The 25239-nt window shown below is 37.4% G+C and overlaps 1 protein-coding gene across 22 annotated transcripts in view; it reads left to right on the top strand.

Annotated features, from left to right (window-relative positions):
* The window catches only part of MFSD8 (major facilitator superfamily domain containing 8), a 48232-nt gene that overhangs the window by 18873 nt on the left and 4120 nt on the right, over positions 1 to 25239 (top strand). For 4 of the 22 annotated variants that reach the window (NM_001371590.2, NM_152778.4, NM_001371596.2 and 1 more), the window contains 7 exons: positions 3099 to 3339; positions 4933 to 5046; positions 7094 to 7238; positions 8253 to 8308; positions 13998 to 14106; positions 16274 to 16408; positions 25128 to 25231. In NM_001371590.2, coding sequence (NP_001358519.1) covers positions 3099 to 3339; positions 4933 to 5046; positions 7094 to 7238; positions 8253 to 8308; positions 13998 to 14106; positions 16274 to 16408; positions 25128 to 25231 — 904 coding nt within the window. Of the gene's footprint in view, positions 1 to 3098; positions 3340 to 4932; positions 5053 to 7093; positions 7239 to 8252; positions 8309 to 13997; positions 14107 to 16273; positions 16409 to 25127; positions 25232 to 25239 lie in introns of those variants that run through there. The other 18 variants (XM_047449992.1, NM_001371595.1, NM_001371594.2 and 15 more) reach the window with 10 other exon arrangements.

The raw sequence follows: 25239 nt of genomic DNA, 5'->3' as shown, positions 1-25239 counted from the left end.
TCCCTCACAACAATTTGGGTCAGAAGCTTTTCCTGTATACTCCCGTTTCCCTTTATCATTAGCCCTTAATATGGAGTGTCCTAACACTGTATTTACAGAGAGTTTACTTAACTCCCCTACTAGATTGTCTAGATTGTTAGGATTGTTTTTTTTTTTAATTTTTGTGGTTTTTTTTGTAAATGGAGTCTCGCTCTGTCACCCAGGCTCGAGGTCAGTGATGCAATCTTGGCTCACTGCAGCCTCCACCTCCAAGGTTCAAGTGATTCTCCTGCCTCAGCCTCCCAAGTAGCTGGGATTACAGTCGTGCACCACCACGCCCAGCTAATTTTTGTATTTTTAGTAGAGACAGGGTTTCACTGTGTTGACCAGGCTGGTCTCAAACTCCTGACCTTGGGTGACCCACCACCTCAGCCTCTCAAAGTGCTGGCATTACAAGTGTGAGCCACCATGCCCAGCCCAGTTTTTACGAATTTCTACTTTTTGAAAATGCTCTCCTAAAATATATTTTTAAAGGAATATAAGAAGAAAAGAAATACAAATTTTACTTTTTACTGGTTTAGTGCCATATTTTCATTGCTATTTTGAAAATAATATTACATGAAATTATTACCCATTACACTAAAAATTCTTTCCATGCTGGTAGTCATTGGAATTGGCACAATTCTGGAGCAACGTCTTCTCTACTAAAAAGATATTTTCATGTATCAAAATTCTTAATTTCTTGGCATTTAGTCTTTTTAGTCAAAATTCTCAAAAGAAGGATATTAGTAGTGATTAGGTCTACTCAGCATACTATGTTGAGTTTTGAAAAGTACTCTCTTTTCTCCAGATATTTTGAAAACTCTTTAAAGAGTCTTGCTATCAGGCCCAGTGCTGTGACTCACGTGCCTGTAATCCCAGCGCTTTGGGAGGCCAAGTTGGGAGGATTGCTTGAGCCCAAGAGTTCAAGACCAGCCTGGGTAACGATATAAGACCTCGTCTCTACAAAAAAATTTAAAAAGTTATCTGGGTATGGTGGTGCTACTCCCTGTAGTCCCAGCTGCTTGGGAGCCTGAGTTGGGAGGATTTCTTGAGCAAAGGAGTTTGAGGTTACAGTGAGCCAAGATTATGCCACTGTATTCTGGCCTGGGTGACAGAGCCAGACCCTGTCTCAGAAAAAAAAAAAAAAAAAAGTTTTGCTTTCAAACCACTACACATTTAACATTAAAATTGAGTTTTCATTGCTTTTTTGAAAATTAAAATTTTATGTAACATGAAATTATTATTTTCTATTTTAGTAGAGATGACAAATGAAGCTAAAGGTAATACAGGAAGAAAATGAAAACCAGAGTACCTAAAATGAAAGATATTTTAACGGCTAGAACTTTAAATATTATGTATCATTATACTTTTGCATATTATTTCTTATTTTTTTCATAAAGAAAAACGCACCTAAATATTTTCACTTTAAATATCTTTAGGGAATTACCAGGCACGGTGGCTCACACCAACAATCCCAGCACTTTGGGAGGCCAAGGCAGGCAGCTCACCTGAGGTCAGGAGTTAAGAGATCAGCCTGGCCAACATGGTGAAACCGCGTCGCTACTAAAAAAAATATAAAAATTAGCTGTGCCCACGTGGTGGCACATGCCTGTAATCTCAGCTACTTGGGAGGCTGAGGCAGGAGAATCGCTTGAACCTGGGAGGTAGAGGTTGTAGTGACCTGAGATCGCACCATTGCACCCCAGCCTGGGCAACAAGATCAAAACTCCGTCTCAAAAGTAAATAAATAAATAAAATAAAATAAATAAATAAATATCTTTAGGGAACAAAAGGTCATAGTTTTCCTTATTAAATTGTTCTACCACTTATCTATATTTGTTTAAATTTATTTCCTAAAATTTAATAAAAGCCATTAAATAGGAAGATTAGAGATAGAATCTTCCTATGTTGCCCAGACTGGAGTGCAGTGGCTTTTCACAGGTACAGTCATAGTGTGTTACAGCCTCCAACTCCTGGGCTCAAGGGATCCTTCTACTCTAGACTGCTGAGTAGCTGAGATTACAGGCATGGGCCACTTCGCCTGGCTTAGCCTACCACATATGAAAAAAAGTAATCTGGCTGAGTGCGGTGGCTCATGCCACTAATCCCAATATTTTGGGAGGCCAAGGTGGGAGAATTCCTCCCTCCCGCGGCAGGAGGATTGCTTTGAGAGTTGGAGGCGGGAAGTTCAAGACCAGCCTGGGCAACATAGGGAGACCCTGTCTCTACAAAAATAAAAAAATTAGGTGGGCATGGTGGTGCATACCTGTAGTCCTGGCTACTCAAGAGGCTGAGGCAGGAGGATCACTTGGGCCTCAAAGGTCGAGGCTGCACTGAGCCGTGATCGGACCACTGCGCTCCAGCCTGGATGTCAGAGTGAGACCCTGTCTCAAAAAAAAAATAAAAATAAAAATAAACAATAGTGCCTTTTCTAAGCTAACATTTTCTATTTTTCTGAAAGTATTTTATTTTCTGAGTTGTAGTCATTTGGTTCTCCCCTTAAGTTCATCATGATATGTAAACCCTTTTAAAGTGGTAGAATACTGAGTGGTCTATATAGAACGGAAGAATTTATAACAGGTTTATTGAGATAATTGTCTATCATCTTTTGTGTTTTTATTATCTTCTTTATGCATTTGACTCTTGTGCCTAGTTTTTTTAAAAAAAATGATTTACAGCGCTAATGGCTGTTTAACGTATAGGGTAGCATAAGTCTAAAGAATTCTATTTACAAGAATTAAAGAATAGCTTATATTATTTTTCATGATGTTATTGCTATATGCGTATATAGTGTGTGTGATTATCTTCTTACCAAGGTTTATATGAACCAAAAATTTCCAGTCATTCTTAAAAATGAGCCTCCCAAGCATTTTTCCCTTGTGTACAGTCTATTGTTAGCACATTTAATTGTATTGTCAGAAGTTTGAATCCCTTACTATAAGTAATAGTGTTATAAAACTTATACGTTAGAATTGTTTTTATTTTTTGATAGGAAATCTTACATGGTATGACAAATGTATTTAGTTTTAAACTTTTCTTGGATAACAATTCTTAAAGCACTGTACCTTTTTCTGCAGATTGATCCGACAGCTGATACAAGTTTTTTGGGCTGGGTTATTGCTTCATATAGTCTTGGCCAAATGGTAGCTTCACCTATATTTGGTTTATGGTCTAATTATAGACCAAGAAAAGAGCCTCTTATTGTCTCCATCTTGATTTCCGTGGCAGCCAACTGCCTCTATGCATATCTCCACATCCCAGCTTCTCATAATAAATACTACATGCTGGTTGCTCGTGGATTGTTGGGAATTGGAGCAGGTAAGGTTGTATGTATATGTTTGGTTGTGTCATATTCACATTCATTCTGACATTTATGGCTCACTTTTAACTGGTCTCATCCCCTTTTAAACTCATATTTCACAGTTCAACATACATGTTTCTCATTGTAAACAAATATTTTTCTTATCATTTTGCCTTTGCTCATGATGTTCTCATTACCTATAGTTTCTCTTCTGTTCTCATCATTCTTCATCCTTCAAGATTCAGTTTAAACCAGGTGTGGTGGCACGTGCCTATAATACCAGCTACTCAGGAGACTGAGGTAGCAGAATCTCTTGAGCCCAGGAGTTCGAGGCCAGCCTGGGTAACATAGGGAGACCTCCATCTAAAAAAAAAAAAACCCAAAACAAAAATAGATCCAATTCAAGCTCCACATTTTCCACAAAGCCATCTTGGGCTACCCTGCCCCTTGAGAGATTTTTTTCTTCTCTGACATGTCTCTGGCACTTGCTTATAGTATTGTACTGTTTCTATCCTTTCTCACTAACCAGATAATAATTTTTTTTTTTTTTTGAAACGGAGTCTTACTCTGTCACCCAGACTGGAATGCAGTGGCGCAATCTTGGCTCACTGCATCCTCTACCTGCCTGGGTTCAAGCAATTCTCCTGCCTCAGCCTCCCGAGTAGCTGGGATTACAGGCGTCTGCCACTGCACCTGGCTAATTTTTGTATTTTTAGTAGAGACGCAGTTTCACCATCTTGGCCAGGCTGGTCTTGAACTCCTGACCTCGTGATCCACTCGCCTCGGCCTCCCAAAGTGCTGGGATTACAGGCATGAGCCACCATTCCCAACCTAAACTTTTTGCAATTAGAAAGAATTAATGATACTTTAAAAATATCCTATGCCCCCTAACAGAGTCTCTTGAATGTAATGTACTCAATGAAAATTTTCAGTAAAATTGTTAGTGCATTTTTTTCTGTTTCTTATATTACATGTCTATGCATACAGAGTTTGTAATATTGTAATACTTTTCTTTTAAAAACAGTTGTAGTAATCAATGGTATGCCATTCACTCAGTGCTTTTTTAGTACTAAGTAAGTTTGATATTCTTTTTTTTTTTTTTTCACTGTTGCCCAGGCTAGAGTGCAGTGGCGTGATCTTGGCTCATTGCAACCTCAGCATCCTGGGTTCAAGCAGTTCTTCTGCCTCAGCCTCCTGAGTAGTTGGGACTACAGGTGGATAATTTTTGAATTTTTAATAGAGACGGGGTTTCACCGTGTTGGCCAGGCTGGTCTTGAACTCCTGACCTCAAAATGATCCACCTACCTCAACCTCTGAAAGTGCTGGGGTTACAGATGTGAGCCACTGTGCCCGGCTTGGTTTTCTTATGATACCATTTTTTCACTCATTGATATCTTTAACTGTTTTCATATTACCAAAACTAGTATGGTCCATTAATTGATGCATTTGCTTAATAAAAATACCTTACATGCTTTGTGTGATCATAAAGAGGAAGCAGTGACTGTACTGTTGACCAAGATTTCTTCTTCTGTATAAAGTCAAATTGGATTGAATTTTATAAGCTGAATGATACTTTCTTTTACTTTGGATTATTGTGTCTTGTTTTTAAGGAAATGTAGCAGTTGTTAGATCATATACTGCTGGTGCTACTTCCCTTCAGGAAAGAACAAGTTCCATGGCAAACATAAGCATGTGTCAAGCATTAGGTTTTATTCTAGGTCCAGGTAGGTGTTCTTCACATGTCATTACTTGAATTTGAATTGGGAAAACTTTTGAGGCTTAAATATTCAGTGTAACCCAAGTATAAAAACTCATAGCTGAAGGGAAAGGGAGGAAAGCTAATTTTTTTTTTAATCCAGGAATGAGGCTACACTCATTTTATCTTGATGCCAATCCACTAAATTAAGTGCTATTAGTCCCCTTTTATAGTTGAGAGTGCCAGTGCATAGAGAATCTAAGTAAATTGTCCAAGGTCACCCTTTTGCTGAGTGTTAAAAAAATTAGTGAGGCCATGCGTGGTGGTCCACACCTGTAATCTCAGCACTTTGGGGGTCTGTGGAAGGCAGATCACCTGAGGTCAGGAGTTTGAGACCAGCCTGGCCAACATGGTGAAACCCCATCTCTACTAAAAATACAAAAATTAGCCAGGTGTGGTGGCGGGCACCTGTAATCCCAGCTACTTGGGAGGCTGAGGCAGGGGAATCGCTTGAACTCGGAGGCAGAGGTTGCAGTGAGCTGAGATCACATCATTGCACTCCAGCTTGGGCAACAAGCGCGAGACTCTGTCTCAAAAAAAATTAATGAGATTTAGTATTTCCTCAAGGCAAATTAATTTTCTGCTGAGTAAAGAATCAGTCATTTTCATGCCTAGAATAATATTGAAAAACCATATAATTGGTCCATATTTTGAATATTGAAGTTATGAATATTATCAGTTTGAATCCAACTCAGCTTACTTCATCATTAACACCCCATCTCCCACCCCCAGTTTCCATTACGTTCCTCTATTTAGCCAAAAAGAAAAGGCTCAACAGAAGGGAATCTAATTCACTGTTCACCAAAATCTACTATTTCAGTTTTGTACCCTGAAACAAATACAAGCACAAATGTAGAATAATTGAACTTGAATACTATATTGTAAAGTACATGAGGACATGGTTTGAGTCTTTATTTACCAGTCTACCCTCAGTATCTAGCATAATACCTGGTATAGACTTATGTTCTTAGTAAATATTTTTTACCACCTTAAAAGCATTTTAAAGATTATGTCATTTAAAAATTTTGCATTATAGATGAGTAAATGTAAGCCTGAAAAGCTTCGATGACTTTTCCAATAATAAGCCCTCAACAAGCACTAACATTTATTGTGTGCTTACTGTATGCTAGTCACTGTTCTAAGTACGGTAGGTGCAATATTTTAGTCCTCACCCTAGAGTTATATGTGAATTACTATAGAGCCACATATTGAATCTAAATCAGAAGAGCAAACCAGTACTCTTCCAATTGAGTTTTTGCCACAGATCCAAATTAGATTTTGCCACTTCATATTTCTTTAGAGTGCTTTATCCAGCAGTCCAAAAACACTTCTAACTAATGTTTAAAATCACTAAAAAAAACTTCAAATACTAAGGTGGATTATGTATGCTTTTGGATGAAATAATTTTTTTTTTTCATTTTACTTGTATATAATACTATGGTCAAATGATAATAAATATATACACACACACACATATATATATATATATATATATACCATATACAGAATAATATTTAAGATATCTGGTCTAAAATATGATATTTTCATTCTTATAATGAAGCTGATTAAACCTTTATAATTAATTTTTGGAAGAAATTGTATAATTTAAATTGCCTATGGAGATGTTTTGTAAAAAACTGAGAAGTTATGTAAGATACAATTCCTTGTGAATGCATGTAAATCAGTGTTTCACAACCTTTTTTTCATTATTGTCTCCCTAAGGAGCCTTTTTCGGTATTTTTTTCCTACTCTCTTTACCCCATAAAATTTTAGTGCCACAGATGTGTCATATATCTTTTATGTACCATATGTATATCTGTACATACCTGCTTTATACATAAAAAGAGGAAATTTTTTGACCCCCCATCAAGAACCAATTCCATCTGTTGAGAATGCATGATATAGAAGGATGATTCCATAACATTGTTCCCAATTCTGTTGTAAATGTCTTTTTCATTTTTTTATCCTATGCTTCTCATATAATAATTCATCTGTGAAAATTTTATCTTAATAAGTTTTTCAGACTTGTTTTACATTCCTTGGAGAAAAAGGTGTGACATGGGATGTGATTAAACTGCAGATAAACATGTATACAACACCAGTTTTACTTAGCGCCTTCCTGGGAATTTTAAATATTATTCTGATCCTTGCCATACTAAGGTAATTAGATAGAAATGATAAAACTATTTTTGTAGATTGTGAAATTTAATGAGCTTTGTAATTGTTGGAAGATAATTATCCTTATGAAGTGTACGTAGTTTTTTATGTCTATAGTTTGTTTATATTTTTTGGTCAGGTAGTACTAAAGCATGTAATACTGGCAACCAAAAGACAACCTGATAAATGAGAACAGAAAAGGAAGGTCTTTGAAGATTCAAAGTTTTTTTTTTTTTTTTTTTTTTTTTTTTGAGACAAGATCTTACTCTGTTGCTCAGACTGGAGGGCAGTGGCACTATCTCGGCTCAATGCAACCTCCATCTCCCGGATTCAAGGATTCTCATACCTCAGCTTCCCGAGTAGCTGGGGCTACAGGTGCATGCCAACACATCCAGCTAATTTTTGTTTCACCATGTTGGCCAGGCTGATCTTGAACTCCTGACCTCAAAGTGATCTGCCCACCTCGGCCTCCCAAAGTGCTGGGATTACAGGCATGAGGCCATGTGAGGCTGTGCCCGGCCTCAAGGTTTGGTCTTGATTTACTAACTACATGTTGCTAAGTAGGGGAAAGGCATGGAAGTAACATTTTAAATAGATTAATGGATTTGTATCAGTCTTAAATATAAAAGTTACTAGTAATGTATATCTCTTATCTTTTATATATTCGAAAAAATTTTTTAAAATTATGTTTTATTTAGAGTGCTTTATTCAATAGTCTAAAAACATTTATTACTAATGTTTATAATCACTGTAAAACTTCAAATACTAAAGTAGATCATGTATGCTTTAGGATGAGTTGGATTTTTTTCATTTTACCTGTTTATGATAATTTGATAAGAATTGTAACTTCTGTCTTAAGTTTATTGGTTATATCTCATTGGTAACAGTTTTATTACTGAAAAACCAATAAAAGAAACTATATTAGAATGTGAAAAAAAATACAATGCCGATAATAAATTTAAACAACTTCTCTATTAAGCATTTTATAGGTACAATATTTGTGTTTTTCTTTTTAAGAGAACATCGTGTGGATGACTCAGGAAGACAGTGTAAAAGTATTAATTTTGAAGAAGGTACTTTTAACCCATTTGGCTGAATTAATATAACATTATCAAAGTGTTTCTAATGATTCTGTTTGTTTGGTATTTACTTCGATTTTGCTTCTGAGGACAACACAGTGGGTGATTGGGGAAGATCTTCAAAGCTGAAAGTGACCTAAATTTATTTATTTATTTATTTATTTATTTATTTATTTATTTATTTTTTTTTTTTTGAGACAGAGTTTCGCTCTGTCGCCCAGGCTGGAGTGCAGTGGTGCGATCTCTGCTCACTGCAAGCTCTGCCTCCGGGGTTCATGCCATCCTCCTGCCTCAGCCTCCTGAGTAGCTGGGACTACAGGCGCATGCCGCCACGCCTGGCTAATTTTTTGTATTTTTAGTAGAGATGGGGTTTCACCATGTTAGCCAGGATGGTCTCGATCTCCTGACCTTGTGATCCACCCGCCTCGGCCTCCCAAAGTGCTGGGATTACAGGCGTGAGCAAATTGATTTTTTTTAAAGAGGCATACCCATATTGGTTATTTGGTGGTCATGATTGACAAGGTTACAAACATTGTAAAAAATCGCTTTGTCTTATTTTCAGAGAGCCAGTATCCTAAAGCCTTTGAGATATTTGCAATGATTTCCATATCTTTACTACCAAATAAATATGTCTATTTAAAGCAGTTCTTTATTATCTTAAGTATGAAAATGGGTATGGTTTTGCCTTTTTATTTTTGTTGTTTTGGTATACTTTAGAAATATACATTTTCATCTTTTAGATCTTCTCTGATTCATATAAGCCAGAGAACCCAGTAAGTAGCTATATTTTACCAAAAAAAAACCTGTTATTTAGGTACTAATTATATCCTCCTTGCGGAAAGAATGCAAGGACTGATCCTGGCCCTCAGTAGTTCATAAAGTTGTGGAAAAGACATAGTATTATTTTACTATTTTACCAGGTACTTTCATAGCTCTTTTATTTAATTTTCACAAAAGAAATAGTGGAAGATAAATGTAGTAGAGCAGAGTGGTGAGGAGCTACAGTAAGTTTTTGAACTAGGAGAAGTTTGACATTGATTCCATGCAGAGGCTAATCCAGATTGGTTATATCTCACTGGTAATATCTCATTGGTAACAATTTCATTACTGAAAAGCCAGTAAAAGAAACTGTATCAAATGTGAAAAAAATACAATGCCAGTAACAAATTTAAACAATTTCTTTATTAAGCTTTTCATAGGTACAATATTTGTGTTTTTCTTTTTAAGAGAACATTGTGTGGATGACTCAGGAAGACAGTGTAAAAGTATTAATTTTGACTAGGCCTGAAGTAGGGCAGTGACTGAGAATGGAGAAGGGATAAGTAGGAGTTGTTGAAAGAGGAATCAAGATAGAGATTTGGATAGAGAATATTAAGGATTAGAGAAAGCCAACATTGCTGCCAGGTTTTGATTCTAGATCACCTGGAAGAATGAGAGAGAACAAGAATTTAGGAAGGGAGGTTAGATGAAAAGAGAAGATGATTTCAATTTGGATCAAGCTGAATATGCTGTTACTCTAGAACAACTAAAAAATCCCACAGGCATTTGTAATTTTGACAGTAGAAATAAAAGCTAGAGATAAAAATTTATGAGTCACCCAGTGAAACACACTATGGCAGCAGAAAGGGAGTGAGAGAAAGGATGGCATGATGATTCAAGTGTGGCAAAAGATTGTTGAATCTGAGGAATGAATATGTGAGAATATGTTTGAAAACTTTCAAAATAAAACACAAAGAATGAGAGGTGAAGTGCCAGCAGTGCGTATAAACTCCTTTTTTCAAAGGTAAAAAATAGGATGCTAACTTCAAGGAGCTATCAGGTAAAGTGACGGAGGAAGTTAAGAGGGTGAGGTAGAGGTATGACAAAGGGAAGATATGTAAAAATCAGTATTTCAGAACTTGGAAGGGGATAATGATATACATCAGTGCTTCATTTACTTTAATGTGCTTAGAAATCACCTGGGAACCTTGTTAAGATGCAAATTCTGATTCATTAGGCTTAGGGTGATACTTAATAGGGTTGCCTGTAAAACACAGGATGTTGCTTCTCAGAATAGGGGAGTTAATAAAGAAATATAAAAATATATAATTTATAATAAAAAATAAAACACAGAATGCCCAATTAAATTTTAATAATGTTTTAATATAAATATGTCCCACCCAGTTAAATTTGGATTTCAATAAACAACAAATAACGTTGGTTTTTTTTTCTTTAATAGAGACAGGATCTTGCCATATTGTCCAGGCTGGCCTTAAACTCCTGGACTCAAGTGATCTGCCTCCCTGGGCCTCCCAAAGTGCTAGGATTACAGGTGTGAGCCACTGCACCTGGAAACAAATAACTTTTAGTATTAATACAATCCAGCTGGGCACAGTGGCTCATGCCTGTAATCCCAGCACTTTGGGAGGCCAAAGCAGGTGGATCACCTGAGGTCAGGAGTTCAAGACCACCCTTGGCCAACATGGTGAAACCCTGTCTCTGCTAAAAATATAAATATTAGCTGGGTGTGATGGCAGGCGCCTGTAATCCCAGCTACTCATGAGGCTGAGGCAGGAGAATCGCTTGAACCTGGGAGGCAGAAGTTGCAGTGAGCCGATATCACGCCACGTACTCCAGCCTGGGTGACAGAGTGAGGCTCTGTCTCAAAAAGAAAAAAAAAAAGTATAAATACAATCCAAATACTTCATGGAACATTCTTATACTTAACTTTCAAATATGGCACAGAACATATTTATATTAACACTTATTGTTTATCTGAAATTTAAATTTAACTGGGTCTCCTGTATATTTACTAAATCTGGCAACCCTAGTGAGATGCTGAGCATCTACATTTACAACAAACTACCATGTGATGTGATGCTTCTGGTCTACAAATCACACTTTGTGCAGCAAAGATTGAGAGCTATGCTGCCCAATATAGTAGCCATTAGCCACATGTGGCTATTTAAATAAAGTAAATTTAAGAAATTATTTTCTGTCATACTAGCCACATTTCAAGTGCTCAATAATGGGTATATGTGGCTAGTGGCCACTGTATTAGCATAGATAAATAACATTTCCGTCATGTCACAGTTCTGTTGGGCAGCACTGTTCTAAAGTACAAATGGGAATGAGTTTAGAGAAGATGTAGTGTTTTCTTTTATGAGATTTCTAGTTACTTCAAAATAATTTTTATAAAATAAAATTTTTAAATTTCAATAAATGTTTGCATAAAATATGTCTGGTAAAAACTTCCATAATTGTTTTAATTTAAAGCTATTCAAATTTAAAGAGGTTATTATGAGACAGGATTATAATTTCTAATTGCATAGAATTTGAATCCATATACTAATGTAGTCTTTTAAAAAATGTGTAATTAGGATATCTAGTCAATCCCCATAGTCTAGGATGCAACATTTCTGAGATACCCCACTGAAGCCAACACTGAGTAGAAGCTATAGGAAACTAACCACATATTATGAAGCAAACTCCAGTCTGACTTGGGGCAATATTGATACTGACTTGAAGGAGTAAAGACTGACTTCTAGGTGGTGATTAAGAATCAGAGAGGTCTATCCAAAATAGTACAAGAGCCACAACCATCAGGGCCTACCCCTGGCAAAGGTTCTGGACAAAGGTGGCCAGTTCTCTTTGTGTGATTACAAAGGAAGGTCATAAGGCTATGTTGAGCATCCAAGGTGCTTAATTCCCTTTAAGTATAGCAGACTATTTCCAAATCTACTTATTGTTGGAGGAGGAACTCCTTCTCAAGAATCCTGAGATAGAAAAGCAGGCATTATTATGAAAAAAATCATAGAAACTTACTGCATCTTAGGAAAGCCCCCCCACCCACCCACTAACAACAACTGACACTACACACAATTTAAGATAGCATAAATAAACATATTTTTGTAATATTTTATGTATTAATACCTGGCATAGGCTGGGCGTGGTGGCTCACACCTGTAATCCCAGCACTTTGGGAGGCCGAGGCGGGCAGATCACGAGGTCAAGAGATTGAGACTATCCTGGCCAACATGGTGAAACCCCATCTCTACTAAAAATACAAAAATAGCTGTAGTCCCAGCTACTCGGGAGACTGAGACAGGAGAATCGCTTGAACCCGGGAGTTGGGGGTTGCATTGAGCAGAGATCGGGTCTCTGCACTCCAGCCTGGCAACAGAGCAAGACTCCGTCCCCCCCGCCAAAAAAAAAAAAAAAAAATACCTGGCTTATTTTGGTATTTATTTGTGTAAAAATACTATTTTATTCTGAATAAGTGGATAAATTACAAAACAGTGTGATGAATATATATGAGTAGATTAATATGTCTGCATGATTCTCAGTTACATCAAGAATAGCTTAATGTGTATTAACCTTAAGGCGTTGTTCAAGATGAGAAGTCAGTACACTTACTTTGTCCTCCTTATTTATAAAACCACCGTCAAATCCTGATTATTTCTTTGCAGAAATATAAATGATAGGGGTTTTTAAAATGGTAATGATAACATAAGGATCTTTACGAATACTAATTTCTTGTTATTTATTTATTTATTTTTTGAGACAGGGTCTCTGTCACCCAGGCTGAAGTGCAGTGGCTCAATCTTGGCTCACTGCAACCTCAGTCTCCTGGTTAAAGCAATTCTCGTGCCTCAGCCTCTCAAGTGGCTGAGATTACAGGCATGTGGCACCACGCCCGGCTAATTCTTTTTTGTATTTTTAGTAGAGATGGGGTTTTGCCATGTTGGCCAGGCTGGTCTCAAACTTCTGACCTCAGGTGATCCACCTGCACTGGCCTCCCACCTGCTGTAATCCACATGTAATCCACATGTAAACCACATGTAATCCCACCTGCTGGGATTACATGTATGAGCCACCACTCCTGGCCATGAGTACTAATTTCATGTAACACTGAAATTCAAAATATATATCCATTGTAGTAAATCATAGAACTGGGAACTGATTTAATAAACCACTGGAGTTCTTCATGAAATTCTTGTAAGTCTAAGATTTAAGTAAGGTGGAAAAAATCTGCAGTTGAAATTTAAAGCAAATATATTTAGTATGAGATCACTATGTTAACAGAGTTCTATAAATTACATTCCCATTTTTGGATTGAGATATACCAAGTACAAAATACATCTGAGTATTTCTTAAGATAACAGGATTGAAGTATATCTCTGGGGAAGAAAATTCACCTTGCTTTTAAATGCCATTTAAAAATTATTTCTGTCATATAAATTATCTTATTGTTGGCCATGCACAGTGGCTCACACGTGTAATCCCAACACTTTGGGAGGCCAAGGCGGGCGGACTGGTTGAGCTCAGGAGTTCAAGCCCAGACTGGGTAGCATGATGAAACCTCATCTCTACAAAAAATATAAAAATTAGCTGGGCGTGGTAGTACATCTGTAGCCCCAGCTTCTTGGGAGGCTGAGGTAGGAGGATCACCTGAGCCTGGGGAGGTCAAGGCTGCAGTGAGCTGTGATCATGACACTGCACTCTAGTCTGGGTGACAGAGTGAGACCCTGTCTCAAAAAATAAAAATAAACAAATTCTCTTATTATTAAACTACTTTGAAGCCTAAAAATTTTTTTAAATGTTTATTTATAAATTTTGCTACAATGTAATTTCTACATTACTTTAATGTCATAAGAAAAATTAGATGTATAGGTAATGTAATTTTTCTCCTATTTCCCTATAGCAAGTACAGATGAAGCTCAGGTTCCCCAAGGAAATATTGACCAGGTTGCTGTTGTGGCCATCAATGTTCTGTTTTTTGTGACTCTATTTATCTTTGCCCTTTTTGAAACGTAAGTTTTATTCCATCTTCATCTGAATCAGATTATGTTTTAACCTTTATTTCTTAATGCAATGTTAATTAGGCATATAGATGTTATTGAAAATCTTATGTAAGGCAAATTTTTCTTACCATGATGTAAAAAATGTATATACATTTTGTTGCTTGTAACTTGAATGTAGTTAATTATTTGTCCATAATCTTAACTACCTTATCTTATTTTCTTATAAAAGAATCTGTTTCACTACTCTTTCCCTCTTTCATCTGAGTTTTATGATAAATACAGTTATAAAACTTTAGTGCCATGATTTAATTATCCTTAAGCTCTATAATTTCCTACATATATGTATATATATATATGATTCAATCTGGTAATTTTAACTCAATTTAATACCTGACCTTGAAGAAAAACCTAGTATATTACAAAATCTCTGCCTTGTGCAGGCTTTATTGACCTTTATCATATGGCTGTTTTATTTTTAAAATAACTTTCCATGAAATTATAAAAATAGTACATTCAAATCCCAAATATTACAACTGTATTTCTATATCCACTCCTTTCTGTGAAAGTAACCACTGCTAATACTTTAGTTTGTGTTTTTTCAAACATTTTTCCTATGTATGTATAAGAGTGTATGTATATACATGTATCTATTAAACTTACATAGATTATGTGATATTATCATTTGACAACTTGGTTTATTTACTTGTTAATACATTGTGTCATTTTTATGTTAGTACTTGTAGGTTTGCTTGGTGTTTTTATTTTCAAAATTATTGAGATATATGAAAGTTCCAGCTCACCTGATATTTTAGGGGCAATTTTTTATTGTGGGAAAATATACATAACATAAAATTTATCGTGTTAACTTTTTTTGTTTTGTTTTGAGACAGGGTCTCACTCTGTCACCCAGGCTGGAGTGCAGTGGTGCAATCACGGCTCACTGCAGCCTTGACCTCCTGGGCTCAGGTGACCTTCCAGCCTCAGCCCTCTAAGTAGCTGGGACCACAGGCATGCGCCACCATGCTCAGCTAATTTGTTTATATTTTTTGTAGAGACAGGATTTCCCCATGTTGCCCAGGCTGATCTCGAACTCCTGGGCTCAAGTGATTTGCTCACCTTGGCCTCCCAAAGTGCTGGGATTACAGACGTGAGCCTCCGCGCCTGGCACTATCATGTTAGCTATTTTTAAGGTATGCAGTTCAGTAGCATTAAGTGCATTCACAATGTTGTACAACCATGACCACTAGCTATTTCCAGAATGTTTTCATCATCCTAAACAGAAGTTCCATACCCATTAAACAGTAACATACCAATTAAACAATGTTAAATAAATTTCAGACTGGGTGCGGTGGCTCACGCCTGTAATCGCAGAACTTTGGGAGGTTGAGGCAGGTGTATCACTTGAGGTCAGGAGTTCAAGACCAGCCTGGCCATATGGTGAAACCCTGTCTATACTAAAAATACAAAAATTAACTGGGTATGGTGGCAGGCGCCTTTAGTCCCAGCTACTCAGGAAGCTGAGGCAGGAGAATTGCTTGAACCCAGGAGATGGAGGTTGCAGTGAGCCAAGATCATGCCACTGCACTCCAGCCCAGGTGACAGAGTGAGACTTTGGCGTCTCAAAAATAATAGTAATAAACAATAAATATAAATTGCATTTTGTAGTCAGTTAATAGAGATCGAATGTAGGGAGAGAAACTTGGCAAGGAAGGATATAGTCATATAAAGGAAGAGACATTGAGAGGCAAAGAGAAAAATATATATATTCAAAAATCCAGTATATTCTGATAACTTAATATAACATTATTGCATTGAAAGAGACCAATTTAATTAAAAATATAACCATGATTATTTAGTAATGTTAGAATGATAGGCATTATGATTGGTGTGGCTTGTTTCCTTTTCCTTTGTTTCAGACTTTCTGTAATATGGCTATATTAGTTATATAATTAAAATAAACATTAGGAAGTAAAATATGAGTAGGCAGACTTAGTAACTTAGGTATGTAACAACAAACGCTTAAAATGTGTTCAAACTTTTGCTTAGGTCTGTTGTCATTGCTAAAAGGCATGCACATTCTTGAATGTGTAGATGTCGTTATTAAAACTTACACTTCACTTTAAGTATAACAGTTACTGTGATTTAAATAAAATAAGAATAATTTTTTTTTTCTTAGCATCATTACTCCATTAACAATGGATATGTATGCCTGGACTCAAGAACAAGCTGTGTTATATAATGGCATAATACTTGCTGCTCTTGGGGTTGAAGCCGTTGTTATTTTCTTAGGAGTTAAGTTGCTTTCCAAAAAGTAAGTTAAGTGTTTTTGGTTTTATGTCTGTTTTTAAAAAATAAAACAAAAAACAGAGCTAACAATGCAAATGGATATACCAGGAAAATAATTTAAAGCTTTTTTTTGCACACAAATTTACAATTTATTAAGAGATTATCATATTTCTATACATTACAGCATTTCTTTGGTAAAACAAAATTTCTCACAAAGTATATAATTGACTCTTATTTATCTTTTGTCTACTATGTTTTCCTGAAAGTATATTTCATAAACCATTGTTCTACTGTATTGTAATATATATTGTGCAACAAAAAAGATTCATGGTTAAGTTTGGAAAATCTTGGTTAAGATTACCAAACTTATTCTAGAACTTCTATCCATAGTATATATATTCTATATCATCATCATGGCAAATAAAATTTGTGTCATTTCCCAGACCACACAACACTCTTTTTTTTTTTGAGACAAGGTCTCGTATTGTTACCCATACTGGAATGCAGTGGTGCAATCATGGCTCAGTGCAGCCTGATGGGCTCAAGAGATCCTCTCATCTCAGCCTCCTGAATAGCTGGACTACAGGCATGACCACCACACCTGGCTAATTTCTTTTATTTTTATTTTTTGTAGAGATATTATCTCACTATGTTGCCCAGGCTAGTCTCATTCCTGGGCTCACGCAATCCTCCAGCCTCAGTCTCCCAAAGTGTTGGGATTACAGGCATGAGCCACTGCGCCCAGCATAAGTGTTTTTTAATTGATACATGATAGATGTACATATGTTTGGGGTATGAGTGATCATTTGATACATTCGTATAATGTATAAAGATCAAATCAAGATAATTGGGATACCATCACTTTAAATATTTACCTTTTCTTTATGCTAGGAACATTTGAATTACTCTTTTCTAGCTTTTGACATGTACACTAAATTATTGCTAACTATAGTCACCCTACTGAGCTATTGAAAACTAGGTCTTATTTCTTCTAACTGTGTATTTGTACCTATTAATCAACTATTGTTTATTGCCTCCTTCCCGCTATTATTCGTGGCCTCTGGTAACTACCAATCTAGTCTCTTTCTTTCTTTTCTTCTTTTTTTTTTTCTTTTTGTAAAAGATGGCGTCTCACTCTGTTGCCCAGAATGGAGTGGAGTGGAGTGATCATAGCTCATGGCAGCCTCAGACTCCTGGGCTGAAGCAATCCTCCTGTCTCAGCTTCATGAGTAGTTAGGACTACAGGCATGTGCCATAATGCCTGGCTAATTTTTTTTTTTTTTTTTAACTTTTTGTAGAGACAAGATCTTGCTTTGTTTCCTGGGCTCACCAATCTACTCTCTATCTTCATGAGATTCTTTTTTTTTTTTTTTTTTTTTTTTTTTGTGACGGAGTCTCGCTCTGTTGCCCAGGCTGGAGTGCAGTGGCACGATCTCAGCTCACTGCAACCTCCACCTCCTGGGTTCCAGCGATTCTCACGCCTCAGCCTCCCAAGTAGCTGGGACTACAGGCACATGCCATCACACCTGGCTAATTTTTTTTTTTATTTTTAGTACAGACGGATTTCACCATGTTAGCCAGGATGGTCTCGATCTCCTGACCTCATGATCTGCCCGCCTCAGCCTCCCAAAGTGCTGGGATTACAGGCGTGAACCACCGCTGCCGACCTGAGATTCACTTTTTTAGCTCCCACATGAGTGAGAACATGTGATAATTTGTCTTTCTGTGCTTGGCTTATTTCACTTAACATAATGACCATGAATTCCATCTATGTTACCCCAAATGATGGCATTTCATGGTTTCAATGGCTGAATAATATTCCCATATATATATACCACATTTATCCATTCATCCATTGATGACCACTTAGGTTGGTTTCATATTTTGACTATTGTGAATAGTGTTGAAATGAACATGGGAGTGCAGATGTGTCTTTGATATATTGATTTCATTTCTTTTAGATATATACCTAGTAATGGGATTGCTGGTTCATATGGCAGTTCCATTTTAAGTTTTTAGGAACTTCTGTACTGTTTTCCATAGTGGTTTTACTAATTTACATTCCCACCAACAGTATACAAGGGTTCCCCTTTCTCCACATCCTCGCCAGCATCCATTATTCCCTCTTTTTGATTAAAGCCATTTTAATTGGGTTGAGAGAATACCTAATTGTGGTTTTGACTTGCATTTCTCTGATGATTAGTGATGTCGAACATTTTTTATTTACTTAGTGGCCTTTTATATGTCTTTTGAGAATGTCTATTCACTGTTTAAAAGAATCATTTTGAGGGCCTGGTGCAGTGGCTCATGCCTGTAATCCCAGCATTTTGGGAGGCCAAGGCAGCTGGATCATTTGGGGTCAGCAGTTCGAGACCAGTCTGGCCAACATGGTGAAACCCCATTTCTACTAAAAATACAAAAATTTTTCTACTAAAAATACAGGGCGTGGTGGCACATTTCTACTAAAACAAAAAAATTTTTCTACTAAAAATAGAGGGTGTGGTGGCATGTGCGTGTAGTCCCAGCTACTCAGGAGGCTAAGGCAAGAGAATCGCTTCAACCTGGGAGGTGGAGGTTGCAGCAGTGAACCAAGATCACACCACTGCCCTCCAGCCTGGGTGACAGAGTGAGATTTCATCTCAAAATAAATAAATAAATACAAATAAATAAAAGAATAATTTTGGCCAGGTATGGTGACTCACATCTGCAACCCCAGCAATTTAGGAGGCTAAAATGGGAGGATCATTTCAGCCCAGGAGTTAGTTTGAGACCAGCCTGGGCAACATAGTGAGATCTTATCTCACTATGATATAATGAGATCCCTATTTCTTCACAGACACACACACAAACACAATTAGCTGGGTATGATGGAGCACGCCTGTAGTCCCAGCTACTTGGGAGGTTGAGGCGAGAGGATTGCTTGAACCCAGGAGTTTGAGGCTGCAGTGAGCTGTGATTGTACCACTACACTCCAGTCTGGGTGACAGAGCAAGACCCATCTCTTAAAAAAAGAATCATTTTGTAAAAGTACAACTGTAAGGAACATATTTTTAGGGAAATGCTTGTGTAAAATTAAGTTCAGTCATATAGTCTATGGTGGAACATTAGTTGATGAATTTAGACAGTTCTATTTAAGTATTCCTCAAATACAGATACTCTTTAACTTGCAATGGGGCTACATCCTGATAAACTGATCATCATAAGTTGAAAATAGCACTAAGTTGAAAATACAGGCTGGGTGCAGTGGCTCACGCCTGCAATCCCAGCACTTTGGGAGGCCAAGGCGGGCAGATCACCTGAGGTCAGAAGTTCGAGACCAGCCCGGCCAACGTGGTGAAACCCCGTCGTAACTAAATACACAAAAATTAGCTGGGTGTGGTGGCCAGTGCCTGTAATCACAGCTGCTCCACAGGTGGAGGCACAAGAATCGCTTGAACCCAGGAGGTGGAGGTTGCAATGAGCCATTGCATTCCAGCCTGGATGACAAGAGTGAAATTCCATCTCAAAAAAAGCGAAAAACAAAAAAAAAAAAACATTTAATACACCTAACCTACGGAGCATTGTAGCTTAGCTTAGCCTACTTTAAACACACTCCAACACTCACATTAGTTTTCAGTTTGGCTAAATCATCTAACACAAAGCGTATTTTATAATAAAGTGTTGGATATCTCATGTAATTTGCCAAATACAGTATACTGTAGATTATAGTACTGGATGTTTACCTTTGTGATCATGTGGCTGATTAGGAGCTGTGGCTCTCTGCTGCTGTCCAGCATCATGAAACAGTATCATACCACAGATCACTAGTCTGGAAAAATATCAAAATTCAAAATTTGAAGTGTGGTTTCTACTGAATGAGTATCACTTTCCTACTGTTGTAAAGCTGAACAGTTCTAAGTTGGACACTCATAAGTCAGAGACTGTATGTACTTTAATAAGGTTCTAAAATTAATCAACAAATGTTAAGTCAGTGTATCAGGTTCAGTGCTATGGGGGTACTATGAGAATTCTTGTCCTTATGGAGCCAAGTAGAGGGATCAAGATATAAGATAGACATATATTTATATTCAAAGTTAATAGGAAGTACATTACATCTTGCTACAGAAGTAGAGCAGTGCTGCTGATACACATTCTTATAGAATGTCCAATACCATCCCCTCAAAGCACGTGTATTCCAGTAGGGGGAAAGCCAATAAACACAAATGTGAAGTCAGATAGTGGTAAGTACTACAAAGAAGAATAGAAGAGAAAAGAATAAGGAGTGACAAGGGCAGGGCTGGGAAGTGGGGAAATGTTGTATTTGATACACTGCTCAAGGAAGGTATATATGAGGAAGTTACATTTAAGCTGAGACCTTAGTGAAGTCAGCAAAGAGCCATGCAATGGCCTGGATGGTCTCGATCTCCTGACCTCAGATGATCCGTCCTCCTCAGCCTCCCAAAGTACTGGGATTACAGGCGTGAGCCACCACACCCAGCCTTTATTATACTTTGAGTTCTGGAATATATGTGCAGGTTTGTTACATAGGTATAAATGTACTATGGTGGTTTGCTGCACCCATCAACCCATCATCTACATTAGGTATTTCTCCTAATGCTATCCCTCCTCTAGCCCCCCACCCCGCAATAGGCCCCTGTGTGTGATGTTCCCCTCCCTGTGTCCATGTATTCTCTTTGTTCAACTCCCACTTATGAGTGAGAACATGTGGCGTTTGTTTTTCTGTTCCTGTGTTTGCTGAGAATGATGGTTTCCAGCTTCATCCATGTTACTGTAAAAGACATGAACTCATCCTTTTTTATGGCTGCATAGTTTTCCATGGTGTATATGTGCTACATTTTCTTTATCCAGTCTGTCATTGATGGGCATTTGGGTTGGTTCCAAGTCTTTACTATTGTGAATAGTGCTGTAATAAACATACATGTGCATGTGTCTTCATAGTAGAATGATTTATAATCCTTTGGGTATATACCCAGTAATGGGATTGCTGGGTCAAATGGTATTTCTGGTTCTAGATCCTTGGGGAATTGCCACACTGTCTTCCACAATGGTTGAACTAATTTACACTCCCACCAACAGTGTAAAGGTGTTCCTATTTCTCCACATCCTCTCCAGCATCTGTTGTTCCCCGACTTTTTAATGATTGCCACTCTAACTGGTGTGAGATGGTATCTCATTGTGATTTTGATATGCATTTCTCTAATGACCAGTGATGATGAGCTTTTTTTCATATGTTTGTTGGTTGCATAAATGTCTTCTTTTGAGAAGCATCTGTTCATATCCTTTGCCCACTTTTTGATGGGGTTGTTTTTTTCTTGTAAATTTGTTTAAGTTCCTTGTAGATTCTGGATATTAGACCTTTATCAGATGGATAGATTGCAAAAATTTTCTCCCATTCTGTAGGTTGCTTGTTCACTCTGATGATAGTTTATTTTGCTGTGCAGAAGCTCTTTAGTTTAATTAGATCCCATTTATCAATTTTGGTTTTTGTTGCCATTGCTTTTGGTGTTTTAGACATGAAGTCCTTGCCCATGCCTATGTCCTGAATGGTAATGCCTAGGTTTTCTTCTAGGGTTTTTATGGTTTTAGGTCCTATGTTTAAGTCTTTGATCTTTCTTGAATTAATTTTTGTATAAGGTATAAAGAAGGGGCCCAGTCTCAGTTTTCTGCGTATGGCTAGCCAGTTTTCCCAACACCATTTATTAAATAGGGAATCCTTTCCCTATTGCTTGTTTTTGTCAGGTTTGTCAAAGATCAGATGGTTGTAGATGTGTGGTGTTATTTCTGAGGCCTCTATTCTGTTCCATTGGTCTATATATCTGTTTTGGTACAAGAATCATGCTGTTTTGGTTACTGTAGCCTTGTAGTGTAGTTTGAAGTCAGGTATTGTGATGTCTTCAGCTTTGTTCTTTTTGCTTAGGATTGTCTTGGCTATATGGGCTCTGTTTTGGTTCCGTATGAAATTTAAAGTAGTTTTTTTCTAATTCTGTGAAGAAAGTCAATGGTAGCTTGATGGGGATAGCATTGAATCCATAAGTTACTTTGGACAGTATGGCCATTTTCACAATATTGATTCTTACTGTCCATGAGCATGGAATGTTTTTCCATTTGTTTGTGTCCTCTCTTATGTCCTTTAGCAGTGGTTTGTAGTTCTCCTTGAAGAGGTCCTTCACATCCCTTGTAAGTTGTATTCCTAGATATTTTATTCTCTTTGCAGCAATTGTGAATGGCAGTTCACTCTTGATTTGGCTCTCTGTTTGTCTGTTATTGGTGTATAGGAATGCTTGTGATTTTTGCACATTGATTTTTTATCCTGAGACTTTGCTGAAGTTGCTTGTCGCTTAAGGAGATTTTGGGCACCACTGGTCCCACAGAAATACAAACTACCGTCAGAGAATACCACAGTATTCTCTAATACTATAAACACCTCTATGCAAATAAAATAGAAAATCTAGAAGACACGGATAAATTCCTGGACACATACACCCTCCCAAGACTAAACCAGGAAGAAGTCGAATCCCTGAATTGACCAATAATAAGTTCTGAGATTGAGGCAGTAATTAATAGCCTACCAACCAAAAAAAGCCCAGGACCAGATAGATTCACAGCCGAATTCTACTGGAGGTACAAAGTTTCCATTCCTTCTGAAACTCCATTCCTTCTGTAACTATGCCAAACCGTAGAAGAAGAGGGACTCCTCCCTAACTCATTTTATGAGGCCAGAATCATCCTGATACCAAAACCTGGCAGAGACACAACAAAAAAAATTTAAGGCCAATATCCCTGATGAACATCGATGCGAAAATCCTCAATAAAATACTGGCAAACCCAGGCCAGGTGCGGTGGCTCACGCCTGTAATCTCAGCACTTTGGGAGGCTGAAGTGGGTGGATCACGAGGTCAGAGGTCGAGACCATCCTGGCCAACACAGTGAAACCCCATCTCTACTAAAAATACAAAAAAAATTAGCCAGGCGTGGTGGCAGGCACCTGTAGTCCCAGCTACTCAGGAGACTGAGGCAGGAGAATGGCATGAACCCGGGAGGCGGAGTTTGCAGTGAGCCAAGTTCACGCCACTGCATACCAGCCTGGGCGACAGAGCAAGACTCTGTCTCAAATAATAATAATAATAATAATAATAATAATAATAATAATAATAAATAAAAATAAAAAATAAAATACTGGAAAACTGAATTCAGCAGCACATCAAAAAGCTTATCCACCACGATCAAATCTGCTTCATCCCTGAGATGCAAGGCTGGTTCAACATACACAAATCAATAAATGTAATCCATCTCATAAACAGAACCAATGACAAAAACCACATGATTATCTCAATATATGCAGAAAAGGCCTTTGATAAAATTCAACACTCCTTCATGCTAACAACACTCAATAAACTGATATTGATGGAACGTATCTCAAAATAATAAGCGCTATTTATGACAAACCCACAGCCAGTATCATACTGAATGGGCAAAAACTGGAAGCATTCCCTTTGAAAACCGGCACAAGACAAGGATACCCTCTCTCACCTCTCCTGTTCAACATAGTGTTGGAAGTTCTGGCCAGGGCAATCAGGCAAGAGAAAGAAATAAAGGGTATTCAATTAGGAAATGAGAAAGTCAAATTGCCTCTGTTTGCAGATGACATGATTGCTGTATTTCTTAAAAACTAGTACTTGCATCTAGAAGCTTGATGAAATTTGGGTTCAATTTTTTGGCAAGAATACTTTATAGGTGGGAATATGTGCTTATATCAGAAGAAATATAATGTTTTGTTTATCTCTTCTTAACATGTAAGTAGCCACTGATTATTCCATAGATCCATTAATTCATTAATGAATCATTACAAAATTCTGGTATTTTAATTCTATCATTCCTTTATTTATTTGCTAGAATACTTACCATGAAGAGAATCTTTCCCTCACCAACTATTTGGTTAACCTGAGCTATAGTTGTATAGGAAAGGCAGGATAAAGGCTTGATTATTTTCTTTTGTTTCCCTAACATCCTCAAAAACTGACCAAAGAGTACTTTATTTTAATATACTATGAATTCATAGATTATAACACTTTTTTTTTTTTTGGCGACAGGGTCTTGCTCTGTCACCCAGTTTGGAGTGCAGTGGTGCCATCACAGCTCATTGCAGCCTTGACCTCCTGGGCTCAAGTAATCCTCCTGCCTCAACCTCCTAAGTAGCTAGAACTACAGGCACCAAATACCACTCCTGGCTAATTTTTAAAATTTTTTGTAGAGATGGGGTCTTGCTATGTTGCCCAGGCTGGTTTTGAACTTCTGGCATCAAGCAGTCCTCCCGCTTTGGCCTCCCAAAGTACTGGGGTTATAGGTGTGAGCCACTACACCAGGCCACAGATGATAATACTTTTTGTGTGTTTCAATCCATTGCCATTATTATTCTGTTTTGGTACTCACATTGTCACATTTTTGGCCAGCTTCTTCAAATTGGCTGAGTCAAAAAGACTCATGACCTAGTAGTCACTGATAACTTCTGTGCTTTTTGCTGTGAAAGATCTGAGCTCATCTACTTTTTGTGTCCCAGACCTTAAGTCAGCCATTTTTCAGAGGAGTCCTGGTTATTTTTAGTGGAAAATTATATTTAGCATTCTTTTTAATGGATATATCACTAAAAGTACAAGATATTATTTTTAGTTTTTAAAATTATGAAAGTAATGAAGCTATGTTATAATGTTTCATTTTAAAATTACAGAGTTTCTGTTCTTTAACAGGATTGGCGAGCGTGCTATTCTACTGGGAGGACTCATCGTTGTATGGGTTGGCTTCTTTATCTTGTTACCTTGGGGAAATCAATTTCCCAAAATACAGTGGGAAGGTATAGCC

This window comes from Homo sapiens, chromosome 4 (genome assembly GCF_000001405.40).
Source record: "Homo sapiens chromosome 4, GRCh38.p14 Primary Assembly".
Lineage (NCBI taxonomy): Eukaryota > Metazoa > Chordata > Mammalia > Primates > Hominidae > Homo > Homo sapiens.
Note: the sequence above shows the minus strand (reverse complement) of the source record. Positions and strands in the feature narration are given on the sequence as shown.